The following is a 22980-nucleotide window of genomic DNA, read 5'->3' as shown; positions in this document are numbered from 1 at the left end:
GTTTAAAACTTTTTTTATTTTTTGAAGATGTTTTTCTTCAAAAGATAATATTTCTCTCCTTATTATATAGTTCATTCTCATTGTGTAATCAAAAAATCTGCTTTAGAGAATTCTGATAAATTTTTCTTTTTAAATATTCTACTTAAGTCCTTATGATGTGTCTCGATGTCTTCATTAAGATTTCCACTTCATTTTGGAGTATAATTGTTGTTTGGGAGCCTACTGTGCTTTATAATCAATTAACATCTTAAAGCAACTATGTGGCACGGGAGCCCTCTGCCTGACACAGGTTCTGACAGACTAACTTTGTATTGGTTTTTCTAACCTTCTTGACGTATTCGGTTGTAGGTAACATCAGTTGCCATTTGTTGGGAGCTCCTCATTAGGTATGGCCTCCCTGGAGACATCCACCTGGCAGAATGAAGATAGAGAGGGAGTAGTTTGAGGTGTAAATCCTAGAGGCTTTATTGACTTCTTTTTATGTATTTACACAAAGGGAATAGGGTTTATGTCCTAAAGTGCAACTTATGGTAAAAAGCTTTCACAAAATTTTAGAGGAACTAAATCTTTCCTCACAAAATCACCATTTATAAGCCTTATGTGTTAATTGGTTCAGGCTGTTACAACAACTTGCCGTAGGCTAGATGACTTAAACAACAAACATTTATCTATCACAGTTCTGGAGGCTGGGAAGAGTCAAGGAAGCTGTCAGGTCAGTTGTTCGGTGAGGGCCTGCTGAGTGTTAACATAAAGAAGATCCATAAACTCTATTACATTATGGAGAATATTAAAACATCTTAATCTAAGCACACCCTAATCACAAACAAAGATAATCAAGGATGTTTTGTTAGTTAAGAGTTTTTGGCTTCAAGGAGCAGAGACCCACCTTTATTTCTCAATTAATGGAGGTTTTGTGCTAAGGATACATATAAAATCAGGAGAAAGAAATTTTACTGAAATAAGAAAATAAGGAATACTTGAGTTTTATGATAGCACTAATGCAGAACTGGAGGGTAATTCAACATCAAAGTCATCACAAATTCATTTTACTCCATGTTCTTACTCAAGTCCTCTCTATTCCTCTTCCCATTGCTCTTGAACCTTACCTTCCTGGGTTAAACCACACATAGTCATCATATATTACTGGATTTGACTTGCTAAAATTTGGGTAGCATATCTATCTATTTTTGCATATTTATTCATGAAAAATATTGGTATGTAATGTTCTTTTATGTTAACATTTTTGTCTGGTTTTGATATCTGTATAATTCCACTAATACATCATGACCAGGTAGTAATTATCCTGGATGTAAGGTTGTTTTAACATTCAAAAATGTATCAGATAAAATCACCATATTATAAACTGAAAGGAACAAACCAAATCAACACTATTATTAATGAGATAAAGCATTTGAAAAAAATCCAACATTCATTCCTGACAATATGTCAACAAAGTAGAAATGGCAGGTAACTTTCTCAACCTGATAAAGTTCAGATATAAAAAAATATACAACTAATATCTTGTTTAATAGTGAAAGACTTAAAGCTTTCTCCCAAGATTAGGAAAAATACAAAGGTGTCTGGTCTTATCAATTTTGTTTAACATTAAAACAGAGGCCCTAGCCAGTGCAATAAGATAAAGAAATTAAAACTAAAGGCACTCATGTCACTAAGAAATAAGTAAAACTTTATTCAAACATTTTATAAAAAATGTAATGAAATATATAAAATGATATTAGAACCTATGAGTTTGACAAACTTATAGATTATATAAAAATCAGTTATATTTCTATATGTTAGCAACCAACAATCAAAAATTAAAAATAAAAAATTGTACCATATGTATTAACAGCAAAAATATGAAGTTATTAAGGAAAAATCTGATAAAACACCAAAAAAATCTGTGCACTGAAAACTGCCTAAAATTGCAGACAGAAATTACTGAAGGTCTAAGTATACTGAGACCCATACTATACCCATGGGTCTTTAGTACTAGTTTTTGTTTTGTTTTGATTTGGCAGAAAATGAAAAAAAAATTTCTAAAATTCACAGGGAAATGCAGTAATCTAGAGAAGCCAAAACATCTTTGAAATAGAAGAACCAAGTGGGAGGACTAACACTATCTAATATCAAGACTTCTTATAATGTGATTTTAATCAAGGCAATGTTGTATTTGTACAAATATTAGAAATAGATCAATGGAATAAAACAGAGATTCCAAAAATAGAGCTACACGTATATGGACAGTGATATTCTTTAAAAGGTGTAAAAGCAGGTCAAAGGAGAAAGAATCATATTCTCATTAGATGATGTTGGAATAATCAAATAATATGCAGAAGATAAAACAAAGCAAAACACATGAAAATGTCATCATAACATAAAATCAATGTCAATTCATTATTTGAACATAACACAAAATGGATATTAGACCTAAATATGAAATTTAATACTATACAATTTCTAGAAGAGAACACAGGATTCTCTGGGCTAGGATTTACTAGATACAACATCAAGAGCATGGCCTATAATAAAGTCAGAATTCACCAAAATTAAAAATTCTGCTTTTCATAAGACACTGTTAAGGGAATAAAAAGGCAAGGTACAGTATAGGAAAAAACATTTGCAAAGCATATATATGGCAATGGATGTGTCTTCAGAATATATAAAGAACTTGTAAAACTCAACAATAAAGAAAATAAACAACCTATGTAAAAATAGGCAAAAGATTTGAATAGATTCTTCACCAAAGAACATATACTGGTATTAAATAAACATGTTAAAAGACACTCAATATCATTGGTTATTTGGGAAATACAAATTAAAATCACAATGAGATAACATTATACACTAAGTGCTGGCTAGGTTATTGAAGATCTAGAATTGCCGTTCACTCCGTTATGAATGTAAAATGGTATAACCACTTTAGAAAATAGCTTGGCAGTTTCTTAAACAGTTAGAAATAAACTTACCTATTCCATTCCTAGATTTTTAGTTAACTAAAGCATTGTTCCTATGAAAACTTTTACATGAATGTTCATATCATTTCTATTTGTGATATAATAGCTAAAAACTGGAAACAGTCCAAATGTCCACGAGCAGATAAATAGATAAACAAACCATTGTATATTTGTAAACTAGAATACTAGTCAACAATAAAAAGAAATTTATGCTACACCATATATGTAACTGTTAGTGAAACAATTATGCTGAGTGAAAGAAGCCATTGAAAATAGGACACAATGTATGGTTCTTCTATCTCTACAAAATACTAAGAAATGAAAATTAACAAAGATTGGTAAAAAGCAGATCAACGATTGCCTTCTATGGAAGGAAGGTGGACAGGAGTAAGAGAGGGATTGCAAAGGCACAAGGAAACGTCTGGAGGTGATAGATTTATTCAACATTTATTTTCTTCAACTTTCATTTTAAGTTCAGGGGTATATGTGTAGGATGTACAGGTTTGTCACATAGGTAAATGTGTGCCATGGTGGTTTGCTGCACAATATCTTCATTGTGATGGTTTCATGGGTATAAATATGTTGATATACATATATGTTTATATATCATAAATCAAATTGTACACATTAAAATGTGCAAAATTTATGTTGAGCATGTTTCAATAATTCTATTTTAAAACAAAGCAAAACAGAAAACTCCACCATAAGCACCATTATCTATGTACCTGGACCTTCTGTTCCAGGCCACCTCATAGGTGTCACTGGTTGTAAGAATTGGTTGGCACCAGGTCAAGGGCTCACTGATGAATTTATCAGCTGTGGGTAGAGTATGGTGATGTATCCATCTGTTGTCAGCTTAAAAACTTCTATTAAGTAATTGTCTTAGGCTGAAGGGAGCTGTTGGTTTGCAGGCATTCTGAGGCTGGACCTATGTAGTACACCGTCTAATATAAGAGAAAATGGAGATGTTACCAAGAATAGGGATAAAATAAGCTAGGCAACTCTGAGACATTCCTTGCCATCTGTTGCCCTTTAGGCTGGTTGATGTGTCTGGTTCAGTTGTGACCCTTTCACACTTCTCTAGCACATCCAATACTCTGGTAGTTTCAAGTTTCACAATCCACATTCCAAAAAAATTAGATGTTGCTTAGACTTTGGATTTTGGTTTGAAATATGATGCTACATTTTATCAGCCACACTTTAACATCTGGCTAAGGCTACTAATTAATACTCAAGGAAATTTATAATTGTTCAGTAGGGGAAAAAGAATGTAAGTTAACCACAAATCCTGTCAGGATTGGAGAGTGAAGAGATGCCCATGTTTCATTGCTATGTAATACTCAGATATAAGCTCTCTCTGCCTTATACAATTTAGTTGTTCTCTCCTAAAAATGTTACACAGATTGAATAGTTATGTATTTATGAAATCTAGATGTTTAGTGGGCAGATTTTAAGACAATTGCAAAAGAGGAGAATAAGAGTTAAAACAATTATAAAGTAGATATCTTACATGGTTCCATAAATACATATTTGTTAAGCATTTTCTGTGTGCCAGGCATTATATTGGAACAGCATAAACAGTAGTGAACAAAAATTAGCTTGTTTCTTTTCTTCATAGAAGTTATAGCACAGGAAATGTGTACAATTAGACGTGTAGTTCATCCCAAACTCCCGCTCCTAGATCTTTTTTTCTCTTTCCCACATGATGTGATTTGGCTGTGTGCCCACCCAAATCTCATCTTGAATTCCCACGTGTTGTGGAAGGGACCAAGTGAGGGGTGACTGAATCATGGGGGCTAGTCTTTCCCATGCTGTTCTGGTGATGGTTAAGTTTCATGAGATCTAATGGTTTTAAAAAGGGGAATTTCCCTGCACAAGCTCTCTTCTCTTGTCTGCCACCATGTGAAACGTACCTTCCACCTTCTGCCATGATTGCGAGGCCTCCCCAGCCACGTGGAACTGTAAGTGCAGTAAACCTATTTCTTTTGTAAATTGCCCAGTCTCTGATATGTCTTTATCAGTGCCATGAACGTGGGCTAATACACCATACAAATTATTCTCATTCAGTAAGTATGTACTTATATTATTAATGTTATGGAGCATCTAGAAATGAGATGATTTTGGTATAAGATCTTTTTGAAAGTAAGCTTTTCCTCCTTCTCCTCCTCCTCCTTGTCCTTTACCCTTCTTCTCCACTTTCTTTATCATTTTCTACTTTTAATTTTGAAGTAATTTCAGGTGTACAAAAATGTTGCAAGATTAGAGCAAAGCATTCCTATATACTATACCCTAACCCAGATTCTCCAAATGTTAACCTTTACCTCTCTTGCTTGCTTTATAATTCTCACTCTTCCTCCCTTCTTCTCCCTCTCCTCTTTTCCTCCCTATTTCTCTCTTCCAACCCTGGCCTTTCCATAGGTATGATTACAAATGTAGATATAAGTATAGATGCAAATATAACTGTAGTTATATATTTTTTTCCTGAAACACTTGAGAGTAAGTTACAAACATGATACTCTTTACATCTAAATACATTAGTGTACAGTTTATGTCACTTAGCCACATTACAATAAACAAAATCAAGAAACTAACATTAATAACATTACAGTCTAACTTAGAAGCCATATTCCAATTCAGCCATTTATACCACTAATATTCTAAACCAATCCAGGATCCCATGTTGCCTGTAGTTCTCATATCTTTTTATTTTCCTTTACTCTAGAACAGTCAGTTTTTCTTTGCCATTCATGACAGTTACTTTTTTTTTAAAGAATACAGACCAGTTATTTTGAACAATGTTCCTCAGTTTGGGTCTGTCTGATGTTTCCTTATTAGATTTAAGCCATGTATTTTTGGCAGGAGTACAACAGGAGTGATGTGTTTTTCTCAGTGCAGCATGTTGTCTTTAGTGAAACAGTAATTTAACTGTCCATTTGGTAAAGGTGGTGTCAGCCAATTTTCTTTAATGTAAAGTTACCATTTTTGTCTTTGTAATGAATAACTATCTTGTTGTGAGCTACTTTGAGATTATATAATCATCCTGTTTCTCACTATACTTTTATGCAATAATTCTTTGATGAGTCTTGCCTGAAATAATTATTACTAGCATGGTTTCCAAATAGTGATTTTTCTATTTCTATCGTTCGTTCTACCTTTGTTAGTTGGAATTTTATTGTAAAGAAGAGTTTTACTTTCTACCCTGCTAAACTTCTTTTCTGAGGTCTCTGCATTCATCTATCTGTCCATCCATCTATTTTCTTTTTTATTTATCCTTTGCTTCATTTCATATGTACTAAATGTATAGTCTTATTTCATTTCTCTGACTTAATTAGATTTTCATAAAAGACTCCCTTAGTGATGTTCCTGCTCACTACTTTATTTATGTATCATTACATGTGCCTACTACTGCTTTCTATAGAGTTAATGAGTAATTTATATCAGAAAACATAAAAGTCCATTCTTTAAAATCTGTTAGAGGCTTGTCTATGAGGGAGACTCAAGCTTTCTAAGGTGACCTTCATCAGATGAATCTGCATATGTTCATGAACATATGTTTGGACTGTCTGTGCTCCTCCCCTAACCTCCTTGTCAAGATGATCCCCAGTTGGATTGTTGACTGAAACTGTAAGGCTTACTTACTATAGATTTGGTATTTTTATCAAGTTTGGTTGAGTGTCTGACTCAAGTCTCACTCTTTATATTTATTTCAACTATAAGATTTCTTATGTCTTCTTATGATCTCTCTAACATCTGTCCATGGTCTGATCAGATTTGAACTTCCCAGATTTGAGATTTTAGTGACACATACAAAGATTATGGAATAAAAATAACATAATCAGAGATGCCATTTATTCAGTGCTTAATGTGTATCCCAGGTACTTTACATATAATATTTAAAAATCTCATAAAACCCTATAAGATCCATGTGTATATCTCAATTTTTAAAAAGTCTTTTGCCTGGTGTTCAGAGAAGCTAAATAATCGGACTGAGCTCGAAGCTAACAAGTAGAAGGGCTGGCATTCAAATACAGGTTTGTCCTAATGGAAAAGGCCATTTTTTCCGTTTGCATTAAACATTGATAATATATCTGTTAACAGTGATAAATATACACAGGAATAATAATGATAGTATATGAAATTATTAAGAATAAAAACTGTAGAGATTCTGTGGCAGAAAAATGAAGTTCTCTTCTTCCCAAAGTGCAGCAGAGTACTCAAATTGCAAGTGTTTATTTATTTTATTTGGCTTTACTTGTTTTGTTCCACTTCTTGCTTTCCTCCTTTGTAGAATCAGTATACTTAAAAATCTACACACATGCTCAAGAAATTATGAAGAAGCCTTAAAATCCATAAAAGCCATAATAATGATAATGTTACTTTATCCCCATGAAGATTTATACCTAGCGCCAAGATTTATACCTAGCACCAAGCTTATACATAGCTATAAGTTGAATATATGAAATTAAATTTTTTGTTTCCAACAGCAGGTGGTGGTGCAGGGTTATTCTATCAAGTTACAGGATTTAATTACAGATACTACTGTGTTGTTGAAAGTGATATGGAACATGTATTTTAATTTTGGAAGCATTTATATTACCTTATTATGATTTACTTTATAAAATAACTTCTTTGAAAAAATTACATACTCATATATAATTTTAGAAGAAAGAAAATGATTAGATATATACAAAATACATACCCTTTAAATCATTTAAGCAGTTTAGAACTTCATATAATTATGTAAATAATTTTGATATGTATTTTTGATAATATGATTTAATATTGAGAATTAAATATTTATATCAAATGTACTCTAAATTTATAATTATTAGAAAAATAATAGTACTAAATGGAGGGACTAAACAAATCTTTGTTATTTAGTAAAAGAATGGACAAAAATGTTTATTTTTGCTTCTTTAATTTCTAGATGATATAATGATTATCTTTAATCACTTTCTACTAAACCTACAATGTACTATGCATTTTCTATTACTCATCTATCCATATTCCTACTCAACTATCTTCAATGTCACTAAATAATTTATTTTGAATCTTGGCTACATTTTAGCTCTTAATTGGTTTAAGTAAAACTTAAAGACAGTAGTATCTTCCAGAATCTTTGATCCAGGGATGGGTTTCATTGGATGATGGTTTTCATTGGATGATAGGTTTCATTGGATGATAAGGAAAGAGTCTATTTCACTCTTTTAAAAAGCCATCGCTCTTACCAGTGAAATACTATTTGGATATTGTAGTCCTCTAGGCCATGATGATAATTATGATGTTAAATTAGTTGAGTCAGTTTTTCAGAGGTCCCAGGCCACACAATGCAAATGTAATATTTATAACCTCAAATGATTCATAGACAATACTAGGCAGCAGATGGCATCTCTAAAGATTTTAATGACTGTTTTGCAGAGCCTGCTTTACGGCAGATGGAATGGAGGAGGGGAGAGACAGGTGTCTGGGAACTGTTGGAATGAGGTAGAGTCAGGTGGTTGGCAGGAATTAGGGGTCCTCTGGAAGGAACAGAGGTTAAAAAGAAATAGAGTGAGTTGGCAATATAATTAAAAGTGCTGTATATCAAAGTCTACAACACGGAGATGTGGGGACTGTTTATATTTTATTTTGGGCCCAATCTATATGACTTCAACATTTTTTATTGTAGTCTCTTAGGATTGGAACTGAAGTTTAATATCCACTATTCTAAATGACCAGCCATATCAATGGCAAGGTCAATAAGGAGTAAGATTAATACTTCCAAATATCTGCTTACAGAACCACTTTGAAAGAAAGTGCTTAACCAAACTGAGCCTTCTACCCTATCCCGAACCCCCTGCAGCTGCCATCATTTCAGAATAGAGAGCCACCCAACATAACAGAAAAAAAAACTTCAGCTTATCTTAAAATGAAGAACAACAATAGCAGATAGATTCTAAAGCTCTCTTAAATTTTAAAAAATTTGTTTTGTATTTGATATTCAGTGTATGATCTAAAGACAGGAATAAAACAAACAAACACACACACACACACACACACACACACACACATATTCATTCTGAAAGCTACAAACTAGACTACTGAAACAGAAGCTCCTTAGTGTGGAAACTTGGGGTTCACATTTAATAGAATCCCTCCATACAACTATTATGAACAGGATAGTTGAGAACCACTGGTTTGTACACTTTGAAGACTGTTCCTAAAAGTAATGGCCTCAAAATATAGTGCAATGAACAAAACAAAATAAAAAGAAGTAGCACAGGTAGGGGCAAATTCAGTTTATATGGCTTGAAGCTATAAATATTGAGGCTCTCTTTATGAAATAAAATAAAAAACTACAAATACAACATTAGATACAGTGTCTTTTGAGAAAATCTACTTCTGAGGCATGAACATTGAAGATAGCTTTGTTTATTACCAGCCTGGACTTGTTTCTGGGCTTTTCTGAGTTGAGAATAATGACTTCCTTCAGCTGCCAATTTCAAATGAGTTCAGTCCCTTATAAAACAGTGAAACACCCCACAGCTATAGGGGTATCATCCTCTTCACCTCTGACTACCTAGTGCATATGCAGTCCTGTGAAATGAATAGAGAAAACTGGACAAGATATTGAGATAGTAGGACAAGTATGCTTGCTGGCATCCTCTACTTTGCTCCAGCCTTTGCGGAGAAATCCAACACTCATTCACACACACGCAAGCTTTAATGAACATTTGTTGAATAAATAACTAAATGATGAATGAATGAATGAATGAGTGAATGGATGAATGAAAGCTGCTATCATAAAATACCTTGGTTGTATAGAATCTTAGAAGTGACTTGCTCTTTTGAGAACTTTAAATTTATTTACTGTATGTTAGGAAAAATATAATTAATTAAGCTGGGTGGAGTTTATGGCTAAGGACCTACTAGAGGAAGTGCCTTTTTGCAAAGCTTTGGAAGGAAGGAATGTGTGTTTATTGAAAAGTAACGATAAGGTTTCTGACTAGAAAACTGGGGCTTCAGGGGCTCTACAACTTCCCAAGATCACAGGTTCTTGGATATTGAATATTACACAAGATGTTAGAAATAAGATTCAAATCTCAAACTCTCTTATTTTATACCGGTTTTTTTTATTATATAATTTTAAGAATTAAAATATTTTTTCTATTTTGTAAAATTATGTGAAGACAAGTAACCTGTGTATTTTAATATTTTCCCCTTTGATAATATAATTTTTAATTTTATGCATTTATTTGTAAAATGTTTTACTAAGATCAAAAAGGGCTACATTTCCTGGTAACAGCCACAAGATTGTCTAAATCCTACCCTTCCTGCCCACAGTGTGAAAAATACGAGAACCCTAAATTATGCACATATACACATACATCATGCACACATGCAGTCATATATATGTATATATGTATATATGTGTATATATATACACTTGTACATATATCCAGTCATTTTCTAAAAAGCAGAACAAGGAATTTCAAAATAGATTTTAAATGTCACGTTTAGATGTTTGCTTATTCCACTATTTAAACATATGCAGGCCAGTACATAAAAATTAGCTACAAATTAGACCAATTTTTAAACTGAGCTGAAAACAACTGGGAACATTATGGGTACATAGGTTAAATAAGTAATTTATGCTTATTTTGTTTTTTTATCATGCCCTGTGTTAATTTTAATTAAACATATATCATGGCCAGGTGCAGTGGCTCACGCCTGTAATCTCAGCACTTTGGGAGGCCAAGACAGGTGCATCACCTGAGGTCAGGAGTTCGAGACCAGCCTGGCCAACATGGTGAAACCCTGTCTCTACCAAAAAAAAAACAAAACTTAGTTGGGCATGGTGGCACATGCTGTAATCCCAGCTCCTCGGGAAGCTGAGGCAGGAGAATTGCTGGAACCCAGGAGGCGGAGGTTGCAGTGAGCCGAAATTGCGCCACTGCACTCCAGCCTGGGCGACAGAGTGAGACTTCATCTCAAAAAAACAAACAACAAAATTTAATTAAACATAAATCAAAATAAACAAGGAATTAGCGGAAGTTACAGGTTAGATAAAGTGAGTTTAACAAATAATTATGAGTAGCTTTTTTCTTATTTTCTGCAGGGCACCATTATAAACTGGCAGTCCTGAAGGACCTTGTCTTAGAGTTGCTTATGGGAATAAAAATGCTTTATTGTGTGTGTTTGTATGTTTCTAAAGGAAAAAAGATCTATCCCCTTTTCTTGACTGGAAAAACCTGGGTTTAAGCCAACCTGATTTTACTCTATAAATATTTAAATCTCCTTTCTTTTCTCTAGTCATTTCTGATAATTCCTCTACTTTATACTGATAGTGTGGTAGACTCTGAAGACACATGTCGTAGGTGCATCTGGTGGTGACCGGGGTGCAATTTAAATTCACAAGAGCAACCCCAAATGGAGTGGGCGAGTGGCCAAATTACAAAGTTCTATGCATCCATAGGAATACACCAGATAATTAGGGATTCTAATTAGAAAAGTAATATATTATTATGGAATGAGCTCCAGGCTTCTGGAAGCTCATTTAAAATGTTAAGTTTCTTTGGAAGGTCTTTATGTTTTCTTTTCATTTGAAGACCCAAATTCCTTTTGCAAAAATCAGTTTTAACTTAAAACCTTTAACATGTCTGCCTTTAATTAATTTTCAGGGTTCAAGGACTGTACATTGTAGGTTTATCCTATCAATTTGATTCTCAAATCCTGGTAGATGTCCCCAAAAGAAGAAAAGAAAAAGCATAAAACTCCATACTCAAAAGTGCCCATTAGTCAGCTTTCACCATGCCAAGTTGTCAAGCGATATCACAGTTATGATCTTTAAAGCATTCAAAAAAAGCTGGAGAACTTTGTGTGAAGAGCTGGATTTTATGGCTTTTGTGTGTGCCAAAGGGATTGTCCAACAGAAAGTACCCTGGAAAGCCTAATTATTACTCCACATATAGTACGTGGCATTATAAGCTATTTTGAGGTTTTTGGAAAGGGAGAGCTATGAGTGACAACCACAGCAGGGCGTGCTGAGGAATTTAAACCCAACTCTATCATCTCCCTGTTGGCAGAACATAAAACACATAATGCTGTTTTAGTAATCAATCTTTCATGTATTTATTTTAAGGAAAAATAATTTCATTAAAACTTACAGAGTGGGAAAAGGAGTGATATAAAAGTCAACACAGTACATTTATATTCAATGAGAATTATTTTTTAAAACATTATGGCTGCTATTTACAAGGGTGGCGTTCGTTTTATACTTAAAATCACAGCAGCTTTTGTAACACTTTTTTTAGGAAATAATGAAAAATCTGATTTGGATTACGACTCAAGTTGAATATTTTTAAGAACTCTTTAATTCTTATACATGTCAGTTGTATAAACAAAATAATGTTGGGAGAATGAACTCAGAAACTTAGAAGCTATCAGTCATTTTTCAGATTTGCCTCTATGCTTTGTTATTCTATTATGTTTGAAAGGGTCTTCAGACAGAGATGAGAATTTAAAGACAATAAATGAAGAGCATTGTTTTATGATTGTGACTTCAATATGCAAGTCTAGTGAGAACTATCTCTAAGTCAGATTTGTGGATATGTCAGTACTGTTTAAAATGAAATTCAGCTGTCTCCCCTCTCCATCCTGGAAGCATTTTATACGTCAGCATTGTCTACTGTTTAGTTGCAGAATATTTTGCTCAGTGGTCATTATAACTTTGGAGGGCACGCCTTAATGCCTAACATGTGTAAAAGGTATTTACCTATAGTAACCAGTAATTTTACTTACATTTTCTCCCAAGCATTGTGGAATCTCAAAAGCCTTCGACTCTACGCTTCAAGTCCAAAAAAACTAAGCAGATTTGTGATACCACTTCTTTTTCATGGTTCTAGATAAAACAAGTAAGAATTTTCTTTCTAGTAAAATAAATGGATTTGCTTCTCTGGTTTTCTACTCTAAGTACTAAGAAAAAGGGAGGTACAATACTTAAAGTTAAGGATTATTGTAACTAGGATAGAATAAATAGAAACAATTAATTTTCCCCGTAGATCTATATCCATGACCAAGGATAAATGAAAACTGTGACATTAGGATTTGAGACAGTGTTTTGCTATTTTGTGGTTATTTCAGACTTACTGTTTTAAAGCAAAATCAACTTATTACCATTTTGAAAATGAGAAAAACCAAATCCAAGTTTTGATTCAGACTTTACTAATAGTTCTATGTCACATGATTAATAAACCTCTGGGGGATATAACTTTTAAATATTATAATAAAAATAAATGATATTTGGCTTTTTGTTTTTCCCTTTGAGGGTGAAATAGAGCTAATGGTCTTTGAATCTGACCTCTTTGCTGCTATTCCCATTTTTTCCAAAAGGTGGCGCATGTGTAATCTTTTTCTTTATCAGGGTGCAAAGAACCTGGGGAGCCAGAGGGACCTGAGTGAATTTTCAGAATTGTTTTTCTTCAACAAACTCAAGGTGGCCACATCAGAAATCTGCATTTCTGCAATGGCAGTTTCTTTATGCTCAAAGAACCCTTCAAATAAGAATTAATCTGATTTTGTGAAAGAAAAACATGCTTCCTATGCTTCCCATCTTAGTTTGGTTTAAACTTTGGAGTTCTTTTTGCCAAGTTTATTTTATAATGTTTTTCTTCCTTTCTGATCTTAGACTAAAGTTCTATTTTTTTAAAGATAACCTTGACTCATGTGGAGTTGTCCTTCTTAATTAGAATTCATAAGCAACACACAAGTATGTCTGGACTCTGTCTAAACAAAGCTCTTTGACAGCACAAATGCAGAAGGATAAATCTATCAGACAGGAGAAATCTTTTGAACTATGGGCAGATAAGAGGGAGTCAGAAGTACAGAGGGAAAGGAAAACATGTTGGAGAGATTCTGATGATGAGACAGGAATTCACAGATGAGACCTAAAATCAAACACACAGTTTTTCCCAGCAATTCACTTAAATGTGCTTCCAAACTCTGTAGCTGAAAGAAAAATTTAAATATGATCTAACGAAGTCCAACCACTTCACTTTACAGATGAGGAAACCAAGTCCCAAAAGATGAAGCCATGTATTTAGTGAAACACAACTGAATTCTGTTCTGTTTCTGGTGAAATAATACAAGAATCTGTCAAAGAGGTGTGTTAAGTCACAAGTTGCAGAAAGCAAGACTTAATAGTTTTGAAAATTGTAGTCTTTTAAATCATGATTCTTTTTTATTTAGGCTTGTATTATTTTGGTCACTATGCTGTTTTAGACACTCTCCTCTGCTCCACAGATGAATATGGTCATTCATTAGCCATTAAGTTGTAGATCTGTGCTGTCCAATGCAGTAGCCATTGGCCACTTGAGTATTTCATTGAATTTTAAACTAATTTAAATGAAATGAAATGAAAAATTTAGTTCATCCATTGCACTAGCCGTATTTCAAGTGCTTAGCAGTTGCATGTAGCTAGTGGCTGCTATTTAAACAGGGCACATATACAGGCATAATTGTACTTCACTTTATTGTGCTTTGCAGATATCGCATGTTTCACAAATTGAAAGTTTGTGGCAACTCTGCATGGAGCAAGTCTATTGGTGCCATTTTCCAACAACATGTGCTCACTTCGTGTCTCTGTGTCCCATTTTGGTGATTCTCACAATATTTCAGACTTGTTATTTCTGTTATGGTGAACTGTGATCAGTGATCTTTGATGTTACTGTTGTAATTATTTTGGAGTGCCATGAACCACACTCATATAAAACAGTGAACTTAATAGTAAATATTGTGTGTGTTACGATAGCTCCACCAACTGACCCTTCCTTCATCTTTCTTCCTCTCCTTAATTTATCTCCCTCTCCTTGGGCCCCCCATTTTCTGAGACACAACAATATTGAAATTAGGCCAACTAATAACTCTAAAATGGCCTCTAAAATGATCAAGTGAAAGGAAGAGTCACATGTCTCTCACTTTTAATCAAGAGCTAGAAATGATTAAGCTTAGTGAGGAGGGCATGTTGAAAGCCAAGACAGGCTGAAAGCTAGGCCTCTTGTGCCGAATAGTTAGCCCAATTGTGAATGCAAAAGAAAAGTTCTTAAAGAAGATTAAAAGTGCTACTCCAGGTCAGGTGTGGTGGCTCACCCCTGTAATTCTAGCACTTTGGGAGGCCGAGGTGGGTGGATTGCTGAGCTCAGAAGTTCAAGACCAGCCTGGGCAAAATGCTGAAACCCCACCTCTACTAAAATACAAAAAAATTAGCTGGGTGTGGCAGCGTGCACCTGCAATCCTAGTTACTTGGGAGACTGAAGCAGGAGAATTGCTTGAACCTGAGAGGCGGATGTTGCAGTGAGTCGAGATTGCGCCATTGCACTCCAGCCTTGGGGACAGAGTGAGACTCTGTCTCAAAAAGAAACAATCCATCAATCAATAAAAGTGCTACACACACATGTATACATATGTAACTAACCTGCACATTGTGCACATGTACCCTAAAACTTAAAGTATAATAATAATAAAATAAAAAAAAGAAAAAGAAGCTAGAAGAAAAAAAAAAGGTGCTACTCCAGTGAACACAGAAATACGAGAAAGTGAAACAGCCTTATTGCTAGTATGGGAAAGATTTTAGTGGTCTGGATAGAAGATTAAACCAGCCACATCATTCCCTTAGACAAAAGCCTAATCTAGAGCAAGGCCCAAACTCTCTTCAATTCTATGAAGGCTGAGAGAGGTAAGGAAGTTGCAGAAGAAAAGTTTGAGGCTAGCAGAGGTTGGTTCATGAGGCTTAAGGAAAGCAACCATCTCCATAACATAAAAGTACAAAGTGAAGCCACGGTGCCAAAGCAAGTTATCCAGAAGATCAAGCTAAAATAATCCATGAAGGTGACTACGTTAAACAACAGATTCTCAATGAAGATGAATGTCTTCTATTGGAAGAAATGCTGTATAGGACTTGCATACCAAGAGAGGAGAAGTCAATGCCTGGTTCAAATCTACGAGGGACAGGCTTACTCTCTTGTTAGGGGTTAGTGCATCTTGTGATTTTAATTTGAAGCCAATGCTAATTTGCCATTCCAAAAATCTTTGGGCCCTTAAGAATTATGTTAAATTGGCTCTGCCTGTGTTCTGTAAATGCAACAACACAGCCTGGATGGCAGTACACCTGTTTACAGCATGGTTTACTGAATATTTAATCCCACTTTTGAGATCTATTGCTCAGTAAAAAAGATTCATTTAAAAATATTACCGTTCATTGACAATGCACCTAGTTACTCAAGAGCTCTGTTGAAGATGTACAAGGAGATTGATGTTGTTTTTATTCCTGCTAACACAACATTCATTCTGCAGCTTATGGATCAAGGAGTAATTTTGATTTTCAAGTCTTGTCATTTAAGAAACACATTTTGTAAGGCCATCAATGCCATTAACTGATTCCTCTGATGGATCTGGGAAAAATAAATTGAAAACCTTCTGGAAAGGACTTATCATTCTAGATACCATCCATAACATTCATAATTCAAAATGTCAAGATTAACAGGAGTTTATTCATCCATCCGTCATAGATGACTTTGAGAAGTGCAAGATTTCACTGGAGGAAGTTAACTAGAGATTAGGATTAGAAGTAGAGCCTGAAGATGTGACTGAATTGCTGCAATCTCATAATAAAACTAACAAATGAGAAGTTACTTTTTGTAGATGTTCAAAGAAAGTGGTTTCTTGAGATGGAATCTACTCCTGGTGAGGTTGCTATGAATGTTGTTGAACAGAGGACTTAGAATATTGCATAAACTTAATTGATAAAGCAGCAGCAGGGTTTGAGAATATTGACTCCAGTTTTGAAATAGTTCCACTGTGGGTAAAATGCTGCCAAACTGCATCACATGCTAGATAAATCTTTTGGGACACGAAGAGTCAATCAATGGGGCAAACTTCATTGCTGTCTCATTTTAAGAAATTTCCACAGGCATGTCAACCTTCAGCAACCCCACCCTGATTGATTAGCAGCCATCGACACTGACACAAGATCCTCCACTGGCAAATAGATTATGATTCGCTGAAGGCTCAGATGATTATCATTTTTAAGCAATACAGTATTTTAAAATTAATATATGTAGATTTTTTAGACATAGTGCAACTTCACACTTAATAGACTGTAATATAGTTTGCAAATAACTTGTATATGCACTGGAAAACTGAAAAAATTGTGCATCTCACTTTCCTGTAATATGTGCTTTAAAATGAAAATTACAATATCTCCAAGATATGCTTGTAGAACTTCCCATCATTGCTGAAAGCTCTCTTGGACAGCAGTGTTATAGATTGATCATTAATTGTAGAGAGTATAAAGAGAGTATAACACAAGGTCAGTTACATAGTGTGATAGGCTAATCCAGTGTGTAATAGCTGAAAATATTTGTTTCATAATTTGTTTGGGTTCATAAGAAAATTTACAACCAGCCATGGAAAATTATCAGGTTAATGTCTTCTTATGCCTTCTCCCACTCTGTTTCTTCTCTACTTTGGACTTCTCTAATACTTTTCACTTTTTAGAGTTCACAACAAATCTTTTTGAGTACTCTATTTATTTCCTCTTGTGTGTGTTATACAATTATACAGTTATACAAATTTTGCAGTGTCTGTTAAATGTGTACTGTACAACAGGCACTGTACCAGGCAACTAAAAAGGAAGACACAGAAGATGCTATATAATAATAAACCAGGCAGGAGCAAACACATCTCCAGAGTTCAACCGAGATAGGAATGATCTCCTCAGACCATTTGAAGTAGCAAAAGCAAGTATTATTAGCTTAACTGTGTATATGATGAGATGGAAGTTTATTCTGAGGGGTGAAGTGACTTGCCCAAAATAATACAGAAGATAGCTGGGTACAGTGGCTCATGCCTGTAATCCCAGCACTTTGGGAGGTGGGAGGATCACCTTAGGTCAGGAGTTCGAGACCAGCCTGGCCAACATGGCGAAACCCTACTAAAAATATAAAGATTACCCAGGCATGGTGGTGGGCGCCTGTAAGCCCAGCTACTCAGGAGGCTGAGGCATGAGAATTGCTTGAACCTGGGAGGGGGAGATTGCAGTGAGCCGTGATTGCGCCACTGCACTCCAGCCTGGGGGATAGGGTGAGACTCTGTCTCCCGAAAACAAAACAAACAACAACAATAAAAATACAGAAGATAAAAAACATATCTTCAAACTGGAATACATGTTTTTAACTTCAAGTCCAATATGTCCAATGCACTTTCTAATCTCTCTATTACCAACCCCATGGTAGAGATTGGTTTATGCCAACTTTCTAATTTTTTCCAACATCTTCCAAGGAACTATCGAATAAGTCGTGCCTTGTATATATATCGACATTCTCTTTTTTGTAAGTTCAATTTTTAGAATTTTCTTGAATAAAGACAGAATTATATTTGTGTTTTTTACCCAGACTTCTCTTCGGAGCTCTAAACTAAGTGGTAAAACGCTCCTGGGTTGAACTGATCTGTGCTTCCTGATGTTCCATCAATACATTGAAAATACTTTGAAATCTTAGGGGTTGTCAGAACTTAAACACAAATGAATGCTCTTTCTATATAGAAAGCAATACCATATATCTATAGAGAAAGATAATTCATTTATGTTTAAGATCCATATACATATATGCATATATATGTGTATATATATTATGCATATATATGGATCTAATTCTTGTCGATTGGCAGATGGATGGGATTACACTGTGTGCAGGCAATCGGAGCAGCGTCAGTAACCCGCAACTTTTCAGTTTGGGCACTTCCCATGACTTTCTGCATAAAAGCATGATCCGTTTAGGCACACCCAAATCCAGATGTTATCCTAATTCTGGGTCTTATATATTTTCTCTTTGCAACATTCCTTGCTTGGAAATTTGGTGGCACCACTCCATCAGTCAAGTGGCCTTAACAGAACCCTATACTGTCTCTGAACCATATTATTTGTAAATGTACCACATAAACCATATGTCACTCAGTACGGCCTCCTAAGAAAGAGTATGATAGAGAATTCCTCCCACACATACAAGTTATCAGTCAAATGTTAAGTTTTATGTTTTGAAGGGGTACTCTGTGCTACTTGCAATACTTTTAGTCCCAACTTGTATTAAAGTGAGATGGTGCTGCATTTACTTACAAAATAAACCTAGTTAGAGATTACCTTTATCTTCATCAATAGAAACTTCCAATAGTGTGGCCATCTTTCTTTTTTTATTATTATTATACTTGAAGTTCTAGGGTACATGTGCACAACGTGCAGGTTTGTTACGTATGTATACATGTGCCATGTTGGCTTGCTGCACCCATTAACTCATCATTTACATTAGGTATTTCCCCTAATGCTATCCCTCCCCCATGCCCCCACCCCATGACAGGCCCCAGTGTGTGATGTTCCCCGCCCTGTGTCCAAGTATTCTCATTGTTCAATTCCCAACTATGAGTGAGAACATGTGGTGTTTGGTTTTCTGTCCTTGCAATAGTTTGCTCAGAATGATGGTTTCCAGCTTCAGCCATGTCCCTACAAAGGACATGAACTCATCCTTTTTTATGGCTGCATAGTATTCCATGGTGTATATGTGCCACATTTTCTTAATCTAGTCTATTATTGATGGACATTTGGGTTGGTTCCAAGTCTTTGCTATTGTGAATAGTGAGTGTGGCCATCTTTCTTATCCTAATCAGCAAATTCACTGTACAGGATTTAATTGACAGCAACATTTTTAGAAAATTCTTTTCAGGTCTTCATGAAGCCTGCCTAATCACACCATTCTTTTGACTTTGTCATACTCTCCTGCCAAAACAAACAAACAAACAATAAATAAATAAACCAACACAAATCTTCTCTCTTCTACTTTTAGTGATCAATACTCCTTTCTTTCCAATCTATCAATTTTGTTTTCTTTTTATTTTTAATTGACAAATAATAATTGTATATATTTATAGGGTGCAATATGATGTTTCGATGCATGTATACATTGTGAAATCATCAAATGGCTAATTAACATATCTATCACCCCAAATATTTATTATTTCTTTGCAATGGACACATTTTAAATTCTTTTAGTGATTTTGAAATACACAATACATTATTAATTATAGTGAAATGATCAAATGACTAGTTAACATATCTATTACCTCAAATATGTATTATTTCTTTGCAATGGACACAGTTTAAATTCTCTTTTGGTTATTTTGAAATATACAATACATTATTATTAATTATAGTCACCTTTGCTGTGCAATAGAATGCCTGAGTTTATTTCTTCTATCTAACTAACTTTGTACTTGTTGACCAACATCTCCCCTTTCCCTGACCACCTCCTCCCCCAGCCACAGATGGAAACAACCTAAATGTCCATCAAAAGATGAATGAGTTTTTTAAAATGCGATATATATGCACAATGGAATACTATTCAGCCTTACTAAAACAGGAAATTCTGTCATTTGTGACAGTATAAATGAACCTAGAGGACATTATGTTATGTGAAATAAGCCAGGCATGGAAAGACAAATAGCATATTACCTTATATGTAAAATCTTAAAAAGCCAAACTTATAGAAATTGAGTAGAATGATAGTTACCAATCCATCAATTTTAATTTGGAGAATTTTGTCCTTTATATCTACAATTCATTTGCTCCTCTCTTTTAAGGATTTCCTCTAGGATCTTAGAATTCAAAGGTTCTCATAAACAAAAGCTCTATTCATGCATTTCAAATATACCATTCTTGTATAACAAAAGTGCATTTATGCATTCAATTAACATATACTGCCCAGTATAGTGAAACAAATGGACTTCTTCATAGGAAAATATTTTCTAGCTGTGTGGCTTTGGGCAAAATACTGTATTACACTGGACTTTAATACTCTCATCTGAAAAATTAGGTGGAAAATAAAACGATACTGTTGGTATTCTATTTTTCTCAGTTTTCTTTAAGTATCTAGTGAGAAAAGCATAGTAGTTGGTAATTTTTTTTCTTATAGGTTATGTGACAAAGCTTTGATCAAAATATTACTTGCTATAATATCACTAGTGAAAACAGTTTTGGAAAACAAAATATTTTGGTTAAAGATAAAATGTGTCATTTTCTTGAGGATTTTTATGGTTGCTAAAAAGGCTAGAGCTGGAAATTTTACAAAATAAACAAATTCTGATACTAGCTATAAAAATAAGGGAAAATACCTGTTCAGCTGAAGAGTAAATTTCTACTATTAAAATGTATCCCAACCTATGTTATATAGCATTAGAAAATACTGCAATATTCTTAAATAATATTTGCCTGGAAATTGGATGCATAATTAGAATGCTATTTGTAGTTATTTCAGCTGGAATTATTTGTATTTGTTCTGTGGCTTGAGAATCTTTCCATAGACAGAAGGGATACAGAGCAGACTTTCTCTAGACCAAGCTTCCAACTCACAGGTCTCTCTCTCTCTCTCAAAGCCACATCACATATTTTAAGTAGCCAATTTCACATTTTTTAAAAAGTATCTATCTTGATCACACTGAGATGTGTGGCTCTTAGTATTCAAAGAAAATTGTGTATACAAGAAACAAATTCTAAATCTGAGTTATTACTTTAAAAATATTTTAGAAACCAAAGTTGTCAGATCATCACCTTAGAAAATTTTCTTCCAAAAAATTTTTACTTATGTGATCTGTATACTGGCTAACTCAGTCTCACTGTGGGATCATCTGAAGTCTCAGATCCATGAAACTTTACTGAATATATGGGCTCACATTAGTCTATGTATACTTATGGCACCTGTTGCTCAGTGTTATAGTACTATTTGTCTCATTATTCATCCATTTTAGGGCTCCACTCTCTGTAGAGAAATTGAGATCCCAAAGTGTATGACTTGCTTATTACATGTCTTTGACATGAGCAAAGCACCAACCAGACTATAAGAATTCTCCCTAAAATATAAATGTAATCAAATTATGTGGAAACAAATTTTGGACAAATTACTCTTGAACAACAACAACAAAATCTGATACACAGAAAATGAAAACATAAATTATTTGTATTTATTAATTTTGACCCATGATTTTGTGCTCAGCTGATATGTAATCATTATTTATTGATGCATCATGAAAAGTCTTTTCTTTTTTCTGATTCCATGTTGGGCAAAATGTAATTTATAATTACCATCCGTTTTGTGATGGTAAAATATCCATTTAGAACAAAAAAAAATGTAAAAATCCATCTCAATTAAAAACGACAAAATAGTGTTTACTAGCTTAAATTTTTCCATCTACATATAAATTTTGTTCATCACCATTAGGTTACTGATATTAGTTAAATTGCAAACATTTCTAACCTGCCCTGTCTCAAATTTAGTAGTACGAAGTCAATATCTTCTGAGGTTCCTTTTTAACAAAAATTGGAAATTAAAAGGAGACTGGGAAACTGTAATTTTGCTGTAGCTTGAACTTGTTCAGATTAGAAAAGGGACCAAGTTCTGAAAAAAACTCTTCTCTGGATAACGTCCAGTACTACTGTATGCCAAATACCCTTTTTTTCCCCTGTAAAGTGAGAAAAGGGGTTTTTTTTAATAAAGAAAAAAATTATTGAAAAGGATTTATGTTCTTTCTACCGTGACTGTAATCAGTTTTGCTAATCTCACATTTTTACTTATCTTGACATCAGGGTTATTTTTTTTTTAATTCTTTCATTTTTATTTTTTTAAAACTCTAACTTACCTAGAATGACTTATGATTAAACAACTTCCCAACACAGTTATAGATCTATTAAGGGACAAAAGCCAAGCAAAGTATATATGGATAAAATGATGTCGGCAAATTTTTAAATTTACAAACATTAAAAATAGAGACATTGTCTTTTATCTCTCTGAATATTTATATTTACAATATAAAATGAAGTCATGAAGCTATGCCCATCTGTTTATTTTTTAAAATCCGTGGTGTCAACAGTTTAAAAGTTTCCAGTAAAAAGCAGGAATGAAAGCATTCTTGTGGGATGTAGTCAAATCAAGGAATTCTGTCCAGATCT

General features: G+C 34.1%; 2 long non-coding RNA genes across 2 annotated transcripts in view; one reads left to right on the top strand and one right to left on the bottom strand.

The window, feature by feature from the left end:
* LINC02823 (long intergenic non-protein coding RNA 2823) overlaps nt 1-13032 on the bottom strand; it is a 41681-nt gene extending 28649 nt beyond the window's left edge. Inside the window, exons 1-2 of the long non-coding RNA NR_183611.1 lie at nt 12738-13032; nt 326-411 (exon numbers count right to left, since the gene is read on the bottom strand). This is a non-coding gene — a long non-coding RNA (long intergenic non-protein coding RNA 2823). The remainder of the gene's footprint in view (nt 1-325; nt 412-12737) is intronic.
* Nucleotides 1-22980, top strand: part of LOC105369896 (uncharacterized) — a 361170-nt gene that overhangs the window by 297437 nt on the left and 40753 nt on the right. The gene's annotated exons all lie outside the window — the stretch shown is intronic.

The sequence above is a fragment of the Homo sapiens genome, chromosome 12 (genome assembly GCF_000001405.40).
Source record: "Homo sapiens chromosome 12, GRCh38.p14 Primary Assembly".
Taxonomy (NCBI): domain Eukaryota; kingdom Metazoa; phylum Chordata; class Mammalia; order Primates; family Hominidae; genus Homo; species Homo sapiens.
The sequence above is the reverse complement of the archived record's forward strand: the minus strand, read 5'-3'. Positions and strand labels throughout refer to the sequence as shown.